Genomic DNA, 22,171 nt, shown 5'->3' on the forward strand with positions numbered 1-22,171 from the left:
GACAAAAAAAGAGAAGATTCCTGCCTTGGAGAGAAAAAGGAGCAGGTGAAAGGAGGGCAGGAAAATGTCAGAGAGATTCTGTTTTCTGAGGCCTGATTCTGAGGTTTAAAGTGCCCCAACATTATAACAAGAGCCATAGGAGTTATGAGCCAGGAACCATGAACAAAAACCTATGTATGTGTGTGTGTATATATATATATATGTGTGTGTGTGTGTGTGTGTGTGTGTGTGTGTGTGTGTTTTACTATGTATATACCCAGACAACCTTCATCCACATAAAGGTATGAAAAATTATCAGTCTTCCATAAGGTACAATCTTTATCGCATTTAAAAATAATATATTTAGGCTGAGTGCAGTGGCTCACGCCTATAGTCCCAGCACTTTAGGAGGCCAAGGTGGGAAGATCACTTGAGCCCAGGTGTTCGAAAGCAGCCTGGGAAACACGGTGAGATTCCATCTCTACAAAAAAAAAAAAAAAAAAATTAGGCAAGCATGGTGGCATATGCCTGTGGTCCCAGCTACTTGGGAGCCTGAGGCAGGAGGATCAGTTGAGCCCAGGAGGTCAAGGCTACAGTAAGCCACTATAGAGTTCATGCCACTGCATGCTAGCCTGGGTGACAGAGCAAGACCCTATCTCAAAATAATAACAATAATATATTTAGGCTGGGTTCAGTGGCTTATGCTTGTAATACCAGCATTTTGGGAGGCCAAGGTGGGAGGATCTCTTGAATCCAGGAGTTCAAAACCAGCCTGGGTAACATACTGAGACCCTGTCTCTATATGTAAATAAATAAATAAATAAATAAATAAATAAAATAAAAATAGTATATTTAAATAATGAAAATAAATAAAACATATTTAAGTATCTAACATGTTAAAATATTTAAATAAAATGTGACCTTACATTATTAAAAATTTGAAAAATTAAGAGAGGAAATAATCTTCTGTTTTTTCACCACCTTAATAAACTATTTTAATTTCTAGTAACTTCATTCTTTTCTTCATTTTTTTTAAGGCTAGTCAAGTGGAGCAGTGGGAGTGAAGATGGAATAAAGAAATCCATAACTGGTTGTGATTAAGTAGTTGTAAACACCAACTGCACTCAGACCAACCCATATATATATTTTTAATTGTAAGCATAGTATATATAAAACTTCAATTCCTGCTTTTTTTTACCTAACATTATATCATATGCATTTTCCATACTGTTTCACAATTCCTTGTATTCGTAATTGTTTAATCCTGCAAAATAATGCTTCGAATGAACATATGATCATTTCCTTAAGTATTCCCCTACTATTAGAAGTGAAGTTTCTTCCAGCATTTTTCTCTTTGCTGTGATGAATATTTTTAAGTATAGAGATTTTTCAGTTTGGTTATGAGTTTTTGAAAATCTACTTTACCAAAAACAAAGAAAACCCATGTCTTTCTTTAGTACCTTTGCCAAGATATTACTTTTACTTGACATTCAACAAGTATAGGATGAAAGTACACAAGTCTGCAAGGGACCTTGGAAGTAACTTGTTTCTGTCTAATTTCTATAAAATTTCCAGGAGATAGTCATACAGCTTTAATTTGATCGCATCCACTAGTTTTGGCATTGGTATTGCCATATTGATTATGGACACATAAAACTGTAACTCCTGGAGCCAACCTCTCAGGCTTTCCTACATGAAACCAATGCCACCATCCCACCCGCACTCTAGCACCTTCTATCCACTGATTTTAGTCATTGACTTGCTCTCTTCCTCTTTCTGTTTGTTGTCTTCCAGTTTGTCTCTTTCATTCCTCCCCTCCCTTCTCTATCCTGCTCTCTGACCCAAGAGGCTGACCTGTATGAACCACATCAGTGATTGGCTGGTGGGGCCCCCCAGCAAAGAGGATGGAGTGAAGTGAGGGTATTTACTTGCTTAATTGCCTCCAGGCTGGGTCACTCACAGCTGGCCATGTCCTTCCATCAAAGATCAGAGCTCTCCTCAAGGTAGCCCTCTCCACAAACTTTCTTGAGTTTCTCTTTCTGGGTTTTGTTAACCATTTTCTCAACTTGTCCCTTCATGCCTAGAGGTAATAGCAGGTGGGGAATGCTGTGCTATTCCATTTGGTTTTCCTGCACCCTTCCCATGTTTGTATGTAGTCCCTTTCATCAAAGTACTGGGACTGTCCTAATTCGAATGTGCCATCTTTTTTGTTTCCTGCTAAGAACTGTTCAACTCACTCTGGATACACTCAATAAATATAACTCAGACTGTCACAATATTGAAGTTGTCACTATGTGCTTTGTTGATATCACTGGTCCAGAAAATAATGACATGGCTCACTCTGCTCACCTCTTTAGTTTCCATTTCAGCATTGCTCACTCCCTTCACAATTCCCCGTCAGAATGGGAAAAAACTTCACTAATAAACTTAGAGATAGAGAGTAGAGTTCATCCTCAATGGCTTATGGACCAAAAGAGGTTTTTTGTGTGTTCGTTTTTGTTTTTCTTTTTTTCTTTAAAGTTCAGATTTTTCTTTGTAAAAACTCTCGTGTTAGATAAGTGCCCATGCCAGAGCTATTTAAGTAATAGCATGAAAAGATGTTATAAAAACTAGATGTATATTTGTCCTTGGTAGTTGTCTTTCCTTGTTCAATGCCTAGCAGGCTATGATGAAATAACTCTGGTAATCATGACTTTAAAAACAATAAGGAGTCAACCTCTCTGAGTGCTCAAGTTATTCCGTGTCTATAAGACAACCTCCTTTAGAAACTGAAGTGTTTCTTCTAAGCGTTTGGGAGCACTGTCTGGAAGGTTATTTTCTGAGTGTGCTTAATCTAAGTTGTGTCGATGAAAAGAATCAAAGTCTGTAAAATATTTGAAGAGATTAATTCTGAGCCAAATATGAGTGACCATGACCTGTGACACAGCTCTCAGGAGGTCCTGAGAACACGTGCCCAAGGTGTCAGGGTGCAGCTTGGTTTTATACATTTTAGGGAGACATGAGACTTCAAATACATTTAGGATATACATTGGTCCAATCCAGAAAGGCAAGACAACTTGAAGGGGGGTGGGGGCCTTCCAGGTTATAGGTAGATTTAAAGTTTTTCTAATTGGCAATTGGGTGGAAGAGTTATCAATGGATAGAAATGTCTGCCTTGCGATAAGAAGTTATGAAGACCAAAGTTTTATCATGCAGATGAAGCTTCCAGGTAGAGAATAAATAGTCAATGTTTCTCTTCTTTTTTGTTCCCTTGATTCTACCCCCTCCCTCCAAACGTTTCTTTTCAGACTTAAGGTCTGTATTGATGTTAATACTGGAGAGGTGTAATGAGGCATGTCTGATCCCACTTCGCGTCATGGCCTGAACCAGTCTTTCAGGTTAAATTTTAAAGTTCCCTGGCTAAGGAGGAAGTCATACAGATGGTTGCGGGGGTTGGGGGGGGGTGGCTCAGAATTTTATTTTTGGTTTACATTTGTCATTTTACAGGAAGAATGTTTTTTGAGTAGAATTAAGAAGATGCTCACAAGATTAAGGCATAATAGAATTTCCCTCCTTCCTTCCTTCCCTCCCTCCCTCCTTTCTTTCTTTCTTTCTCTTTTTCTTTCCTTCCTTCCTTCCCTCCTTCCTTCCTTTCTTCCTTCCTTCCTTCCCTCCCTCCCTACCTCCTTCCTTTTCTTTCTTTCTTTCATTTCTTTCTTTCTTTTTTTCTTTCTTTCTTTCTTTCTTTCTTTCTTTCTTTCTTTCTTTCTTTCTTTCCTTCATTCCTTCCTTCTCTCTTTCTTTCTTTCTCTCTTTCTTTCTCAAGACAGGAGTGTGCCCTGTTGCCAAGGCTGGCCTGTGCTCAAGTGATCCACCTGCCTTGGCCTCCCAAACTGCTGGGATCACAGGTGTGAGCCACCATGCCCAGCCAGCATAATAGTACTTCGAAGATAACGATTTCCTTTTACAAGGAATCCTTCAAACTTGATGAAAAGAAAAAGATGGAGAGCTAAGCTATGAGGATGCAAAGGCATGAGAATAATACAATGGACTTTGGGGACTCGGAGGGAAAGGGTGGGAGGCGGGTGAGGGATAAAAGACTACACACTGGGTACAGTGTACACTGCTCAGGTGATGGGTGCACCAAAATCTCAGAAACCACCACTGAAGAACTTATCCATGTAATCAAACACAACCTGTTCCCCAAAAACCTGTAGAAAAAAAATTGTATACCATAAATATGTATAATTTTTGTCAATAAAAATTTTTTTAAAGTGAAAAAAAAGAAAAGAAAGAAGTGAAGGTGTCCCAAGGGTTAACTCAATCCATTATATTATTTTTATATTTATTTATTTATTTATTGAGACATAGTTTCACTCTTGTCACCCAGGCTGGAGTGCAATGGCACGATCTCAGCTCACTGCAACCCCACCTCCCAGGTTCAAGCCATTCTCCTTCCTCAGCCTTCTGAGTAGCTGGGATTATAGGCGTGTGCCACCATACCTGGCTAATTTTTGTATTTTTAGTAGAGATGGGATTTCACCATGTTGGCCAGGCTGGTCTTGAACTCCTGACCTCAGGCGATCTGCCCACTTTGGCCTCCCAAAGTGCTGGGATTACAAGCATGAGCCACCATGCCCAGTCTCAATCCATTATATTATTTTCTTCATGTTTCTTCTTGTGACTTCCACTTGGATTTTACAGAAGAGGGGGTGTGGATCAGTAAGACAGAAAAAAGAGGTGAAAGACTGAATCAAGGCCAAGGAAAGCTTGGGCTTCCTCCCAGATATTGGGCAATCTTCTCCTCACTCCTCACTTTCCTTAAGCAATCTCATCAGCTTCCCTGTCTCTAATTACTGCACTACTCATCATAGATGACTCCCCAGTTTAAATCTCTGGTACAGACCTATCTGAGCCCCAGCCCCACAAAGGCAATTGGTTTCTGACATCTCCAGTGGAGATGTCTCAAAATATCTCCAATTCATGATGTTCCTCCTTACACCTAGGTGTGCTCCTCTTCCTTCCTGTGTTCTCTGAATGAGAAAATGACACCACTTCACCACTGTTCACACAGTGACACCAGCAAGAAGCCCAGTGATCATCCTCAGGACCTCCTCCCTATCATGCCCTCATCCTCTCCCTCATGCCCTCATCCCTCCTCATCCACTTTATCTCAGACACAACCACTCTGCCCTTCTCCAAGGCCAACTCTTTTTTTTTTTTTTTGGAGATAGAGTCTTACTCTCTCACTCAGGCTGGAGTGTGCAGTGGCGTGATCTCAGCTCACTTCAACCTCCACTTTCCAGGTTCAAGCGATTCTCATGCCTCAGCCTCCCAAGTAGCTGGAACTACAGGTGTGTGCCACCATGCCCAGGTAATTTTTGTATTTTTAGTAGAGGTGGGGTTTTACTATATTGACCAGGCTGGTCTTGAACTCCTGACCTCAAGTGATCCGCCCGCCTAGGCCTCCCAAAGTGTTGGGATTACAGGTGTGAGCCACCATGTCCAGCCCAGGGCCAATTCTCTAGCCCTGCTTCTGTCAGCTCTTGCCCAGACAACAGCAGTCACCTGCATCCACTCTTCCCAACCTTTCAACTAGTTCTCCATGCTACAGCTGGAGTGACCTTTTTGAAATGTAAATGGAGTAACCGTTTTGAAATAAAATGCACACTTCAGTGACTTCTTATTTCTCTTATCATAAAAATCTTTTAACCTGGTCTGTGAACCACTGCACGTTTTGGTCCTTTCCTACTTCTTCCAACTAATCCTAATTTCAGTTCTACATCTTACTAACTGGATAACCTTGCCTAAGTTACTTAACTCCTCTATGCCTCAGTTTCTTCATCTGTAAAACAGGGGTAACAATAGTATTTCCAATTAGAATTGTCATGAGGATCAATGTAAAGTGCTTAGAATTAACTTAGTAGGTACAATAAATATTAGCTCAATAAATGTTTGCTCAATAAATATTAGCACTTATTAGGACATCTTAGCTGTCTTCGGTCACTGTGACATTTTCTCTCAAAAGTGTTGTCTTACTCTGTTTACATTGCTATAAATAAATGCCTGGGACTGGGTAATTTACAAGGCAAAGACGTTTATTTGGCTCACAGTTCTGCAGGCTGTGCAAGAAGCATGCTGCCAGCATCTGCTTCTGGTGAGGGCCGCAGCCTCCTTCCACTCATGGCGCAGGAGAAGGGGAGCCAGTGTAGAGATCACATGGGGAGAGAGAGTAGGGGAGGTGCCTGGCTCTTTTTAACAACCAGCTCTCTCAGAAACTCATAGAGTAAGAACTCACTCATTACTGTGAGGACAGCACTAAGCTATTCATGAGGGATCCGCCCCCATGACCCAAACACTTCTCACTCTGTCCACCTCCAACATTGGGGATCAAATTTCAACATGAGATTCAGAGGGGTCAAACGTCCAAACTAGGCGAGATGCCGTGGCTCATGCCTGTAATCCCTGCACTTTAGGAGGCCGAGGTGGGCGGATCACTTGAGATCAGGAGTTCGAGACCAGCCTAGCCAGCATGGGGAAACCCTGTCTCTACTAAAAATACAAAAATTAGCTGGGCATGGTGGCACACACCTGTAATCCCAGCTACTCAGGAGGCTGAGGCATGAGAATTGCTTGAACCCGGGAGGCGGAGATTGCAGTGAACTGAGATTGAGCCACTGCACTCCAGCCTGGGGAGACAGAGCGAGACTCTTCCAAAAAAAAAAAAAAAATACAAACTCTAGCAGGTGTCATACTTCCTTCCACTGTAGGACCTTTGCACATCATGCTGTTCACTCTGAGCACTGCTTCCTTTCATCATTTCCTAGCATTTCTTCCTCCAGGAAGTCTTCTATAATCTCTTCGACTAAAGTTTCTCTATTACACTATTTCATAACATCACATACTTTTCCTTAATAGCACTTATCACAATTATATTTTTACATTTATTTAGGTGATCATGTGATTGATGTCTTTCTCTCCACTGGAACTGAAGTCCACGAGGGCAGGGCAGGAAGGGTAGAATAATTTTTTCCGCTTTAATATCATATTCTCAGTTCATAGCATCTTGCCTGACACAGAGTAAAATAAGTACTCAATAAACATTAGTTGAATGAATGAAATTAATCTCATTGTACATGAGAAATGTACAATGGGGCTCTCTAGCACATGGTTTGCAGCTGCCTCTTCCCTCTGCCAGACGGCAATACTTGTGTGACTAAGAAAGAAAGGGTTGTGCATGGTGGCTCATACCTGTAATCCCTGCACTTTGGGAGGCTGAGGTGGGACAATCACTTGAGCCCAGGGGTTCAAGATCAACCTGGACAACATGGCAAGACCCTGTCTCTACAAAAAATAAAACAAACAAAAAAATTAGCCAGGTGTGGCACTGCACATCTGTGGTCCTAGGTCTGTGGGAGGTTGAGATGGGAGGATTGTTTGAGCCTGGGAGGCAGAGGTTGCAGTGAGCTGTGATTGCACCACTGTACTCAAACCTGAGTGACAGAGTGAGACTGTGTCTCAAAGAAAAAAAAGGAGAAAGAAAGAAAGAGAGAGAAAAAGAAGGAAGGAAGGAAGGAAGGTAGGAAGGAAGGGAGTTTCTCAAAGAAGCTCTGCCTCACAATGACCCCCCTATTAAGTTCTCCTGATGTTGATGGTTATCCCTTTTCTAAGTGTGGGTCACCCCTAAGAAGACCACTTGCTAGTAGTCATGTGGTTCCAAAATCATGCCCCTTGATAAGGCCAAATCTATGCATACAAAACTGTAATACCCTCTTTGAAGAATCTTCTGTGAAAGTTTAGTCATTGAAGTTCTGTCTTGAGCAGGAGATGTCAACAAGCTGTAATCTTGGTACTTTGATTGTCTTCTCAGGCCCAGTTCCAGTTTGCTCCTTTCTTTCTTTCTTTTTTTTTTTTTTTTTGAGATGGGTTCTTGCTCTACCACCCAAGCTGGAGTGTGGTAGCACAATCATAGTTCATTGCAACCTTGAACTCCTGGGCTCAAAGGATCCTCCTGCCTCAGCCTCCCAAGTAGTTGGGCCCACAGCTGTTCACCATCACGTCCTAGTTTGCTCCATTTCAATTGTCTCCTTCTTTATGGTGCTACACAAGGGTAAAATAATAACAATAGCTGACATTTATTAGTCATTGGTGCTTGCTATTGTTAGGCACCATGCAAGGCATTCTTTGTATAATATTCTTACTTAGAAAAAAGAATCCTCTTAAGTCAATGCTACTATTATCCCTGTTTTACAGTTAAAACATGGACATTTAAAGAGATGAAGAAACTGCTTAATATTACATGGCCGGTGAGTGGTAGAAACAGATTTTGATACTCAGGTAGTCTGATGTCACAGCTCACACTTGGGTATATACTACATCACACTGCCTAGGTACAGTTAGTGATATTTTACTGATCCTAACTCAACTTCTCATCCAGTGAGATAAGTTCCAAAGACCATTTAAATTGTCTTCTTAAACTGCTAACCACATAGCGAACACAAATATCATACAACTGGGATTAGAGGGCAAAGTTATCCAAATTAAAAACAAGACTTATCTTGATTTGTGATTGGGCATATCATGAGTGCAGGCACAATGTAGATGCTCAATAAAACTTATTTATTGAATGAATAAATGGATCACACCAGTCACATCCTTATAAACCCTTTAATCAGATTATGAATATTTTTCCATACAATTTCTCCACAATTCAAGTTCCTCTTCAAAAATATAGAATAAGGAATTTTCTTCTTAATTCACACTCTATGGTCCAAACAATCAGATTATAAATGAACAATCTTGATATTCATTCATTCATTCCATAACTATTTCTTGACCAAGCTACAGTGTGTCTTGCTTTTTCCCTACTAGAGAATAGAACTCATTTTTTTCTCTAGTGACTATTCCATCTGGCCTCTCTTCTGTCTTTTCTCATAGAGAAGGCCTGTCATAGGTAGGCCTGTCCAGTACTTCTCCCTGGGATGCACCAGAGAGACATATGGACTTCACCTGTCATTGGTATCCGCAGCAAGCCTTTCTCTCCCAAGCCTAACCTACATTGTACTGCTACAGGTACTTTGCTGTAGATGCCATAGTGACTGTAATTTTTAGAAATGATTTCTCTCTACAGAGGGAAATTCTTTCATTATAATAAAAAAGTCATTTTCTATTATTATGAAAAAATACATATTCATTGCATAAAAAATTTTAAATCCCATGTAATCCCCCCAAATAACAATTGTGATAGATAATATTAAAAGAGTCTTACTGTATGTTAAGCATGACACGATAACAAAGTTACATTACCTTTTCAATTTTACTTATGAGAAAAATCCAGGAAATTGAAGGGGGCTGCTTTAGATCCTCAGCTGGTAAATGAGAGTCTGAATGTATACTCAGGTCTATCCACTTCAAAAACCAGCATTCTCTACCACTGACGACATCATCTTAAAGGCCAATTAGTATTCTGATGTACAGAGGCACTTAGTGCCTTCTCTCTTATTGGATATTTAGGTTGTTTTTAATTTTTTAATATTAGAATTAGCACTTCAATGAACATTAAAGTTAAACATTTTCTTTGAAGGAAAAATAGTGTTATTGTTCCTTTCAGAATGCATAAATAATATATGCTTACTCTCTTAGTCCATTCAGGCTGCTAAAACAAAATACCTTACACTGGGCAATTTACAAATGACAGAAATGTATTGCTCACAATTCTGGAGGCTGGGAAGTCCAAGATCAAGGCACCAGCAGATTTGGTGTCTGGTGAGGGCCCATTCTTCGTAGATGGTGCCTTCTGTGTGTCCCCACATGGCAGCAGGGGCAAACAAACTCTCCTTGGTCTCTTTTATAAGAGCATTAATTCCCTTCATGAAGGTGAACGCCTCATGATTTAATCACTTCCCAAAGGCCCCACCTCTTAATACCATCACATTGGATATTAGGTTCTAATAACTGTAACCTCAAGTTTACAGTTTGCCAACCTAGGCCAAAGGTAGGGAAAGTATGGCCCATGAGCCAGATCAGGCCTGCTTTCCTCCCCTCTTATTTTTGTATAGCCTCTGAGCTAAGAATAGATTTTTATATTTTTCACTGATTATAAACAGTCAATGAAAAAAATACTTTGTAACACATGAAAATTATATGAAATTCAAATTTGAAAGCACAAACTGTTTTTCACCGTTGCACACTTCTGTGACCAGATGTGTAAAGGTTTTTCTCCACATACTAAGCAAATCTCCAGTGGACGCCAACTGAGTGTCTTATAATTCAATTTAATTCTGATACTATCCACCTGAAGATAGCATCAGACCCTACAGGTTAAGGGCCCAGTCCCACAAGACTGCCCGCACTCCAGATACCAATTAAAAGCCCCAGGTTGTAGGGCCAGGTGTGATGACGTACGCCTGTAATCCCAGCACTTTGGGAGGCCAAGGCAGGTGGATCACTTGATGTCAGGAATTCGAGACCAGCCTGGCTAACATGGTGAAATCCCGTCTCTACTAAAAATACAAAAAATTAGCTGGGCGTGGTGGCAAGCACCTGTCATCCCAGCTACTCAGGAGGCTGAGGCAGGAGAACTGCTTGAACCCGGGAGGTGGAGGTTGCGGTGAGCCAACATCACGCCATTGCACTCCAGCCTGGGGGACAAGAGTGAAACGCTGTCTCAAAACAAACAAACAAAAAAAAAAAACAAAGAAAGCCCCAGGTTGTTATTTGTGCTTCTGACTGGCTATAAATCAAGGTTCCCTCAACCACCTCTTCAGGTTTGATTAATTTGCTAGTGGCTCACAGAATCCAGGGAAACACTTTAGTTACATTTAATGGTTTATTATAAAGAATAGTACAGGCCAGGCATGGTGGCTCTTGCCGGTAATCCCAGTACTTTTGAGGTTGAGGTGGGCAGATCACTTGAGGTCAGGAGTTCAAGACCAGCCTGGACAACATAGTGAAAGCCTGTCTCTACGAAAAATACAAAAACTAGCTGGGTGTGGTGGCGCGTGCCTGTAATCCCAGCTACTCTGGAGGCTGAGGCAGAAGAATCGCTTGAACCTGGGAGGCAGAGGTTGCAGTGAGCCGAGATTGCACCACTGCACTCATGGTGCAGTGACAAAGTTAGAATCCATCTCAAAAATAAATAAATAAATAGTATAAAGGATGCAGATGAATAGCCAGATGGAAATGATGAATAGGGCAAGGTATGTGAAAAAGGGCACAGAGCTTCTATGCCCTCTTCGGATATACCACCTCCAGGCACCTCCATGAGTTCAGCTATCTAGAAGCTTTTCCAACTCAGTCCTTTTGGGTAATTATGGTCATTATGTAGACATGACTGATTATGGTTATAGTAATCGAAGGGGATTATTTCCAAGACTCCCACAGATACTAAAATCTAGGTCCTACAGTTGACCATTGGTGATCAGCTCAACCTTCAGCTTGTCTCCCCTCCCTAGAGATTAAGAAATGTGGCTAAAAGTTCCAACTCTCTAATCATGCCCTAGTTTTTCTGACCAATCCCCATCCTGAAGCTATTTAGGGGCCACCAGTCATCTCATTAGTGTACAAAAGATACTCTTACCACTCTAGAAATGCCTCATATTTTAGGAGCTGTATGATGGGAACCAGGGCAGAAATTAAATATAGATTTTTAAAAATTATACCACAGTATAAATAGTTTTATTGGAACACAGCTATGCTCATTCATTTACGTATTATGTGGATATTTTCATGCTACCATAGCAGAGCTGAATAATTGTATTGGAGAATGTGTGGCCCACAAAGCTTGACTATCTGGCCCTATACAGAAGAAGTTTGCTGATCTCTGACTTAGGTAACTGATGTACTTCTCTTATTGCTATTAAATGGGCAGGGTAAATATTAAAAATACCTATATTTTAGGGTGGGAGAAAAAAATTAACAGCTAAGGAATTTGGGGGCGTATTTAAGGCCATATTGGAAAGGTACATATGTTAATTATTCCCTCCATACAAAAATGACTTTGATATTCAGATTTTAATAATTATCAGATAGCTATAATATGTGGAGTGATGGGAAGTAACATTTTGGACAGATTGCAGTTAGGAAACAGACCCTGGTCAGAAGGTCTTAGACAAAAATCTTAGCATCAAGCTCAGATTATTCCTTCCTGCTTCATTTGTGTTCTCCTCACAATGCTTTCAGCTGCCTAGGAATAGCCAGGCAACCAGCTGCTACTTTGAGCACCCGGCTAAAATAAGCAGAGACAACTGGAAGGCTTGATGTGAAAAAGAGCTGTTGAAGTGTACACAAGCAAGCTGACTGCCTTATGACTAATACTTGACAGAACCCAGCAAGAGGATATGAGATTGCAGATGGATGACCTCAATCCTGAACAGAAAGGCGTGCATGATAATGGAGAGAAAAAAGCCAATGGGGAAAAAAAACCCACCACTATTTTTTTAATAGCCTAACACACACACAAAAAACTGGTTTTCCTTTTTCTGTAATGTGTCTGTAGAGCTGGCTATTCTGATTAAAGTTGCCCTTGAAAAAGCAATTAACTTAAGAGTCTTACTGGAAGTTAAAAATCCCAAGGGGCAGGAAAAATGAGTGTATGGGAAGCCCAGTCAACAGGTCAGAAGGTACAGCTGGGAGGTTTTAGCATTACGTACCGTGTGTTTTTCGTTTAAGGGAGAAGCTTATTTGCTCACTGCTATAGTTTGGATGTTTGTCCCCTTCAAATCTTGTGATGGAATCTGATCCCCAGTGTTGGAAGTGGGGCCTAATGGGAGGTGTTTGGGTCATGGGAGCAGATCCCTCATAAATAGATTAATGCTCTGTCTGGGAGGGTGGGTGCGGGGTACGAGTTCTCACTTTATTAGTTCCTGTGAAAGCTGGTTGTTAAAAAGAACCTAGCACCTCCCCTTTCACTTCAGTGGCAAAGTACACTCCAATACTTTCACCCTGATGAAGTCCTATTCTTTAGTTTTATACTTACTCTTATTCTTGTTCCCGTTCTTATGCCACCCTCTACCTCTCCCCAGCTATCTCTACCACACTATCAATCTCACTCTCTCCTAGCCATTTCTAATCCTTCTTTAACAAACAATTGCTGGCTTTGCATTTCTCTTTCCTCCAAAACTGCCAAGGCCTTGACTTACTGCTGAAAAAGGAGGACTCTGTATATTTTTAAATGAGCAGTGTTGTTTTTACCTAAATAAATCTGGCCTGGTGTATGACAACATAAAAAAACTCAAGGATAGAGCCCAAAAACTCGCCAACCAAGCAAGTAATTACTTGCTTGGGCACTCTCTAATTTGATGTCCTGAGTCCTCCCAATTCTTAGTCCTTTAATACCTATTTTTCTCCTTCTCTTATTCAGACCTTGTGTCTTCCGTTTAGTTTCTAAATTCATACAAAACCATATCCAGGCCATCACCAATCATTCTATATGACAAATGCTCCTCCTAACAACCCCACAATATCACCCCTTACCATAAAATCTTCCTTCAGCTTAATCTCTCCCACTCTAGGTTCCCACGCCAACCCTAATCCCGCTGGAAGCAGCCCTGAGAGACATCGCCCATTATCTCTCCATACCACCCCTAAAAATTTTCGTTGTCTCAACACTTCAGCACTATTTTATGTTATTTTTCTTATTAATATAAGAAGACAGGAATGTCAGGCCTCTGAGTCCAAGCTAAGCCATCATATCCCCTGTGACCTGCACATATACATCCAGATGGCCTGAAGCAAGTGAAACATCACAAAAGAAGTGAAAATGGCTGGTTCATGCCTTAACTGATGACATTGCACCATTGTGATTTGATCCTGCCCCACCTTAACTGATCAATTAACCTTGTGAAATTCCTTCTCCTGGCTCAGAAGCTCCCCCACTGAGCACCTTGTGACCCCCACCCCTGCCCACAAGACAACAACCCCCTTTGACTGTAACTTTCCACTAACCACCCAAATCCTATAAAACTGCCCCACCCCTATCTTCCTTGCTGACTATCTTTCCGGAGTCAGCCCGCCTGCACCCAGGTGATTAAAAAGCTTTATTGCTCAAACAAAGCCTGTTCGGTGGTCTCTTCACACAGATGCGCATGACACTATGGTTTTGCTTTCTGAGGTTTCAGTTACTTGCAGTTGACCATGTTCCAAAAAATATTAAGTAAATTACCCAGAAATAACAATTCATAAGTTTTAAATTGTACTCCATTCTGAGTAGCATGGCGAAATCTTATGCTGTCTGGCTCTGTCCCATTGGGTACATGAATGATTTCTTTGTCCCGTGTATCCACGCTGTTTAAGGTGGTGGTACCTGCCTGTGAGTCACTTGGCAGCCCTGTTATTTAACAGTTGGACAGTCACAGTATCTCAGTGTTTGTGTTAAGGGAACCCTTCTTTTACTTAAGAATGGCCCCAAAGTGCAAGAGTAGTGATGCTTGCAATTCAGAGATGCCAAAGAGCAGCTGGAAAGTGTTTCCTTTAATTGAAAAGGTAAGTTTTTTACTTAATAAGAAAAAAAATTATGTGCTGATGTTACCATGATCTATAGTAAAAATGAATCTTGTAGCTGTGAAATTGTGAAAAAGGAAGAAGAAATTTATGCCAGTTTTGCTGTCACACCTCATCCCGCAAGGGGTGCAATGCATTATGGCTGCCATGTGTGATATTACGAGATAAAAAATAGTTCATGGGTGTCAACCTTCCACCCTGCGCTCAGCTCTGCTAGGTATTCTAAGGATTTACAGAGGCTAAGAAATCTCATACAGAACATAATATGTACACATAGAAAGCACAGAGAAACAATGACACACTAGCATTGAGAACTCAGTGGAATGTTACTGACAAGTGCAGTAGGAGTTCAGCAAAGAAGAGGAGGCCACTATAGGCAGGTGGAGTCAGAAAAGGGGAATGACCTTGTGGGGTCACTGGAATTTGGATCTGTGGAGAGAAGGGGAGGAGAGTTTCTAAAGAGAAGAGTGACAAGACCAGAAGCAGGTACAAAACCATGAACCTGGTTTGTTTAGAGGACAGTGAGGAGATCTTTCTGGTTGACTGTTTAGAGGTGGGAAGGCCAAACCGAGGAATTATGTCTGACAGAAGGGAAGAAATGACCATGGTGGCCTTCTCAGACTCTGTGGGAAAGGCCTCTACCTATCCAGTGAAAGTGTCTACCCAGACCAAGAGGTATTTTAGTTTCCTGACTCGGGGCATGTGAGTAAAATCAATTTGCCAGTCCTGGGCAGGGGCAAATTCTTGAGCTTGATGTGTAGGGAAGAGAGGGGGCCTGAGAAATTCCTGAGGAGTAGTAGAATAGTAGATGGAACATTGAGAAGTGATTTTTTGAGGATGGATTTTTACGATGGAAAGGAAATGAGAGGTTTTAAGAGGCAGGCTAGTGGCTTGTAACTTACATGGAAGAGGTTATGAAATGACGACAGAATAAAACAGGCCTGTGAGGCTGGAAGGAGATATTTTCCTTGGTCCAAGAACCATTTGCTTTGTGTGGGAAGAGATTGATAGGTGGAAGTTTCAGTAGGAGAGTAGGTGGGAGTGACTGATGAGAAGGAGAAAAACTGGCCACGAGGGACAGAAGTTGGGACACTAGCTGATTCTTTAGCTACCTTATCAGCATAAGCATTGCCCTGAGTGATGGGATCTGACACCTTTTGATGGCCCTTGCAGTGAATGACTCCAGCTTCTTTTGGAAGTAAAGCGGCCTTGAGAAGAGTTTTTATTAAAGAGGCATTAATGATGGAGGACCCTCGCATAGCGAGGAAACCTCTTTCAGCCCATATAACAGCATGGTGATGCAGGATATGGAAGGCATATTTAGAGTCAATATAAATATTGACATGTAGTCCCTTTGCAAGAGTGAGGGCCCAAATTAAGGCAATGAGTTCGGCTTGCTGAGAGGTAGTGGAGGGGGGCAGAGTGGTAGCCTCAATGATAGATGTGGAAGATACTATAGCATAGCCTTCCTTTGCTGGTGAGTGGCGATTTGGCCTGGTGGAACTGCCGTCAATAAACCAAGTGTGATCAGGGTTAGGAACAGGAAAGAAGGAAATATGGGGAAATGGAGTGAATGTCAGGTGGATCAGAGAGATACAGTCATGGGGGTCAGGTGTGGTATCAGGAATAATGTGGGAGGCTGGATTGAAGTCCGGGCCAGGAACAATGGTAATTGTGGGAGACTCAACAAAGAGTGAGTATAGCCGAAGGAGCCGGGGGGCAGAAAGTACATGCATCAGGTGTAAGGAAGAAAATAGATTTTGGAAGTTATGAGAGCTGTAGAGAGTGAGTTGAGCACAGTTTGTGATTTTGAGGGCCTCTGAAAGTATTAAAGTAGCAGCAGCTGCTGCATGCAAGCATGAGGGCTAGGCTAAAACAGTAAGGTTAAGTTGTTTGGACAGAAAGGCTACAGGGTGCAGTCCAGGCTCTTGTGTAAGAATTCTGACCACACAGCCCTGTACTTTGGCTGTGTGTAATGAAAAATTTTGGGATATGTCAGGGACAGCTAGTGTGGGAGCAGATTTTAGGGCTGTTTTTAAGGAATGGAAAGAGGAATGGGGAAAGGATTTAGGATCTATGGGGTCAGCTAGATTTCCTTTTGTGAGTTTATATAATGGTTTAGTCAGGATGTTAAAACTAGGTATCCAAAGGTGAAAGTATCTAACCATGCCCAAGAAGGAAAGGAGTTGTTGCTTTGTAGAAGGAGTTGGGGTTTGGGAGATTAGCCAGAGAAGATCAGCAGACAGAGCATGTGTGTTTTTATGAAGAATTATGCCGAGATAGGTAACGGATGAGGAAGAAATTTGGGCTTTGGAGGGGGATACACGATAGCCTTTTGAGAATAGACGTTGGAGGAGCAGGAGGGTGTTCTGTTGGGAAGATTTGTAGGAGGGGCTATAAAGTAGAAGGTTATCAAAATATTTAATAGGGTGAGAAGCAGATGGATGGAAAGAAAGTAAATCATGAGAAAGGGCTTTACTGAAGAAATGGGGGCTGTCCATGAAGATTTGCGGCAGTACAACCCAGGTAAGTTGCTGAGACTGATGGGTGTCAGGGTTAGTCTAAGTGAAAACAAAGAGAGGCTGGGCTGAAGGGTGCAAAGGAATAGTAAAGAAAGCATGTTTGAGATCCAGAACACAATAATGGGTTGTGGAGGGAGGTATTGAGGATAGGAGAGTTTATGGGTTTGGCACCATGGGATGGATAGGCAAGACAATTTGGTCGATAAGGTGCAAATCCTGAATTAACCTGTAAGACTTGTCTGGTTTTTGGGCAGGTAAAATGGGGGAATTGTAAGGAGAGTTTATAGGCTTTAAAAGGCCATGCTGTAACAGGCAAGTGATAACAGGCTTTAATCCTTTTAAAACATGCTGTGGGATGGGGTATTGGCATTGAGCTGGGTAAGGGTGATTAGGTTTTAATGGGATGGAAAGGGGTGCGTGATTGATCACAAAGGAGGGAGTAGAGTGTCCTATACTTGTGGATTAAGGTGGGGAGATATAAGGGGAGGATGTGAAGGAGGCTTTGAACTGGGGAAAAGGGCAGCAATGAGGTGTGGCTGTAGCCTAGGAATAGTCAGGGAAGCAGACAATTTATTTAAAATGCCTAGACCCAATAAGGGAACTGCGCAGGTGGGAATAACTAAAAAAGAGTGCATAAAAGAATGTTGTCTGAGTTGGCACCAGAGTTGGGGAGTTTTAAGCGGTTTAGAAGCCTGGCTGTCAATACTCACAACAGTTATGGAGGCAAGGGAAACAGGCCCTTGAAAAGAAGGTAATGTGGAGTGGGTAGCCTCCATATCAATTAAGAAGGGGAGTTACCCTCCATTGTAAGAGTTACCCAAAGCATCTGTGATGGTCCAGGAGGTTTCCGAGGCAATCGGGCAGCATCAGTCTTCAGCCACTAAGCTGAGAAGATCTGGGAAGGAGTCACCCAGAGAGGCTTGGGCCAGAGTTCCAGGGGCAGTGGCTGCTGGGCAAGTTGGACAGTCTGATTTCCAGTGGGGTCCCACACAGATGGGACATGGCTTAGCAGGAATCCTGGGCTGTGGGCATTCCTGGGCCCAGTGGCCAGATTTCCGGCACTTGAAGCAAGATCCTGGGGGAGGAGGTCCTGAAGGAATGCCTGGCCACTGTGGCTTAGGTGTTTTGAAGTTCTTGTGTGCTGGAGATGTAGCTGGGGTTTCTCTCACAGTGGAGGCAAGTAATTGCAACTCTTCTCTATTATTGTACACCTTGAAGGCAAGGTGAATTAAGTCCTGTTGTGGGGTTTGAGGGCCGGAATCTAATTTTTGGAGCTTTATTTAATCTCAGGAGCAGATTGGGTAATAAAATGCATATTGAGAATAAGATGGCCTTCTGGCCTTTCTGGGTCTAGGGCAGTAAAACATCTAAGGGTTGTTGCCAAACAAGCCACGGACTGGGCTGGGTTTTTATATTTGATGAAAAAGAGCCTAAAAGCTAACTGATTTGGGAAATGTCTGATAGAGAAAAAGGAGCATTAACCTTGACTATGCCTTTAGCTCCAGCCATCTCTTTAAGAGGAAATTTTTGGGCAGGTAGGGGAGGGCTAGTCGTGGAACAAAACTGTAAGCTGGACTGGGTGTGAGGAGGGGAGGTGATAGAAGTATTATAGGATGGGGGAGCGGAGGCTGAGGAAGAATTGATACCTGGCTCAGCCTGGCAAGGAGCAGCCTGGGGAGGAGGGGAGAGGTCAGATGGGTCCGTAGAAAAGGAGGATCCAAAGGACTCAAAACCTGGGGTGGAGACTGAAAGAACAGACTGGAGAGAAAGAAGAAAGATTTGGGATGAGTGGCATTGGGAGCAGAGATTAGGAAGGGACTGATGTGTAAAAGAATGCCTGGACGTCAGGCACCTCAGACCATTTGCTAATTTTATGCCAAGAATTATCTAGATCTTGTAGGATGGAGAAATCAAAAGTGCTGTTTTCTGGCTATTTGGAACCATTGTCGAGTTTGTATTGGGGTCAAGAGGTACTGCAGAAGAAAATAAGGCATTTAGGTTTTAGGTCAGGTGTGAGTTGAAGAGGTTTTAAGTTCTTGAGAACACAGGCTAAGGGAGAAGAAGGAGGAATGGAGGGTGGAAAGTTGCCCATAGTGAAGGAGGCAAGCCCAGAGAAAAGAGAGGGTAGAGACATGGAGAGAAGGGGTGGGGGGGGATACTTTCGCTCCCAGGGAGGTTGCCTGCCACAAAGGTGAAGGATCAAGGCAGGTGTCCCCACGGTGATCAGACACCTCTGAAATGTGGGTGAATAATCAGGCAGGCATCCCGGCAGTGATTAAACACCAAGTGAAGACTGTCTTCCCAAGTCCATGACTGGTGCCGGAGTTTTGGGTTCACAGATAAAACATGTCTCTTCTGTCTCTACCAGAAAGGGAAGGGAACTGAAATTAAGAGAAGGGAGAGATTGAAGGGTGGCACCAAAATTGAAAGGAGAAAGAAGTTGAGGGATAGCGAGAGAGGTTGGAGAAGAGAGTAAAAAGAGGCCACTTACCTAATTTAAAATTGGTGAGATGTTCCTTGGGCTGGTTGGTCTGAGGACCCGAGGTCACAGGTGGATCTTTGTCACTGAGCAAAGAGCAGGAGGACAGAGGATTGATCTCCCAAGGGAGGTCCCCAATCCGAGTCACGGCACCAAATGTCACACGCGTCCATGTGAAGAGACCACCAAACAGGCTTTGTGTGAGCAGTAAAGCTTTTTAATCACCTGGGTGCAGGCGGGCTGAGTCCGAAAAGAGAATCAGCAAGGAAGATAGGGGTGGGGCAGTTTTATAGGATTTGGGTAGCTAACGGAAAATTACAGTCAAAGGGGGTTGTTCTCTTGAGGGTAGGCTTGAGGCTCACAAGGTGCTCAGTGGGGGAGCTTCTGAGCCAGGAGAAGGAATTTCACAAGGTTAATTGATCAGTTAAGGTGGGGCAGGAACAAATCACAATGGTGGAATGTCATCATTTAAGGCAGGAACCAGCCATTTTCACTTCTTTTGTGATTCTTCACTTGCTTCAGGCCATCTGGATGTATACATGGAGGTCACAGGGGATATGATGGCTTAACTTGGGCTCAGAGGCCTGACACATAGATAAGGGAGGACTACTGTAAAATACAGTTAAATATATAGAATGTCCTCATTATTTGTGTTAGTTATGGTCTATAAAGTTATGAACCCCAAAAATTGGAGACAGGTCTCAGTTAATTTAGAAAATTTGTTTTGCCACGGTGGAGAATGCACACCCATGACACAACCTCAGGAAGTCCTGACAACACATGCCCAAAGTGGTTGGGGCACAGCTTAGTTTTATATATTTTAGGAAGACATGAGGCATGAATCAATATATGTAAGAAGTACATTGGTTCCATACAGAAAGGCAGAGACTACTCAAGGCAAGCCCCCCTGTCCCTGCCACCTTGCCCTCCCATCCCCACCCCAGGGGGCTTCCATGTCACAGATAGGTGAGAGATAAATGGTTACATTTTTTGAGTTTCTGATAAGCCTTTCCAAAAAGGCAATCAGAACATGCATCTATCTCTGTGAACAGAGGGATGACTTTGAATAGAATGGGAGGCAGGTGTGCCCTGAGCATTTCCAGCTTGAATTTTCCTTTTAGCTTAGTGATTTTGGGGGCCCAAGATATTTTCCTTTCACAAAGTTGTTGTGAATACTGAATTAGTGAATGGTGAATCATTGTTCTTAAAGGAAATATAGGGGAAAGATCATGTGAGTTCTTTTTGTCAATTGATCAATTGTCACCTTTTTGTCAATTGATCAATATATAACCTGGTTTTATGTGTGTTTCTGTTAAGATACCTTAATATATTTGTTAATTTATTTACATTCAACTCACAACCAACAGCACTGTAATTCATGCCTGAACAAAGCTTATCAACTGCATGTATGCTCCACCTATCCTCTGGAAACTGCCTTTCCAAAAATTATATGAGAAAATTATGGCAGTAAAAGAGATCTGACTGAACATCTTGCCTTTAGCTGCCAGTGATTATTCCTGGGCTTGGACCGAGCTAACTCTGGGAGACATTTAGTTTATAGTTTAAATGATAATAGCCCTCTGGCCTGGCCACATGACCCTTGAGCAGTAAGGAATTATAGAAACTATACCTACATTTTAGCAGAGTTCAAGCCCCTCCCATAATCCTATTCTTGCAGCCTTTCATTAGACTTACAAAGGTGATTTTGAGTCCGTGTGTAAGGAGGGAATTAGTTTTAGGGAGGGACTGTAATGAGTTGGCTCTGTGTCCCCACCCAAATCTCATGTCAAATTATAATTCCCAACATTGCAGAAGGGACCTGTTGGGAGGTGATTGGATCATGGGGTCGAATTTCCCCTTTGCTTTTCTTGTGATAATGAGTTCTCATAAGATCTGCTTGTTTAAAAGTGTGTGGCACTTCTGTCGCCATGTGAAGATGTGCTTGCTTCTCCTTTGCCTTCTGCCATGATTGTAAGTTTCTTGAGGCCTCCTCAGCCATGCCTCCTGTACAATCTGTGAAATTGTGAGTCAATTAAAAACTATTTTCTTTATAAACTACACAGTCTCTGGTAGTTCTTTATAGCAATGTGAGAATGGACTAATACAGAGACTATTATCATCCTTGCTTTCAAGTGAAACTATAAACTAAGTTCCTCCCAATGTTAGCTTGGCTTATTCCAAGGAATGACAAGGACAGCTTGGAGGTCAGCAGCAAGATGGAGTCAACTACATCAGATTTCGCTTACTGTCATAATTTTGCAAAGGCAGTTTCAGTGGGATTTAGGAAAGTAGATAAAGTTTGTGCCATTGTTTGTTTATACTGCTATGCATGGTCTTAGTCCTTTTCACGGTCATAAAACTTCCCCACAACCCCAGAGAGGAATTATGGTAGGTACACTCTTGGTCTCTCTCCTGGGAGTAGAAGCTTCCCTCAAAAGAGAATTTACGGCAGTCATCATGTCTCAGAAGTTTCTGCGATAGTCAGATAAGGGAAGCTCCAAGAAGGCTTCTTTCTGCATCTGTTGTATCATAAAAGTCTTCAGCTTAAGATAATTTTATACCAACTTGGTGACCCAGGAGGTCCTCACAAAGTCAGTACAGCTAATAGTATTTGAAGGATTGATTTATTCCTGAGCCATAGGGATACATTTTTATTCTGACTCTAGGTTTATCTCATGGGTGTTGGTTCTTAGAGTTTTGTTTTGTTTTCTAA

At 42.2% G+C, this 22,171-nt stretch overlaps 1 long non-coding RNA gene across 3 annotated transcripts in view; it reads left to right on the forward strand.

The window, feature by feature from the left end:
• Positions 1 to 12,493, forward strand: part of PPM1K-DT (PPM1K divergent transcript) — a 56,728-nt gene extending 44,235 nt beyond the window's left edge. For 2 of the 3 annotated variants that reach the window (NR_134236.1, NR_134237.1), the window contains one exon: positions 1,017 to 2,257. This is a non-coding gene — a long non-coding RNA (PPM1K divergent transcript). Of the gene's footprint in view, positions 1 to 1,016; positions 2,258 to 11,697; positions 11,789 to 12,138 lie in introns of those variants that run through there. The other variant, NR_134238.1, reaches the window with a different exon arrangement.
• The last annotated feature ends 9,678 nt before the right edge of the window (positions 12,494 to 22,171 follow it).

Source organism: Homo sapiens, chromosome 4 (genome assembly GCF_000001405.40).
Source record: "Homo sapiens chromosome 4, GRCh38.p14 Primary Assembly".
Taxonomy (NCBI): Eukaryota; Metazoa; Chordata; class Mammalia; order Primates; family Hominidae; genus Homo; species Homo sapiens.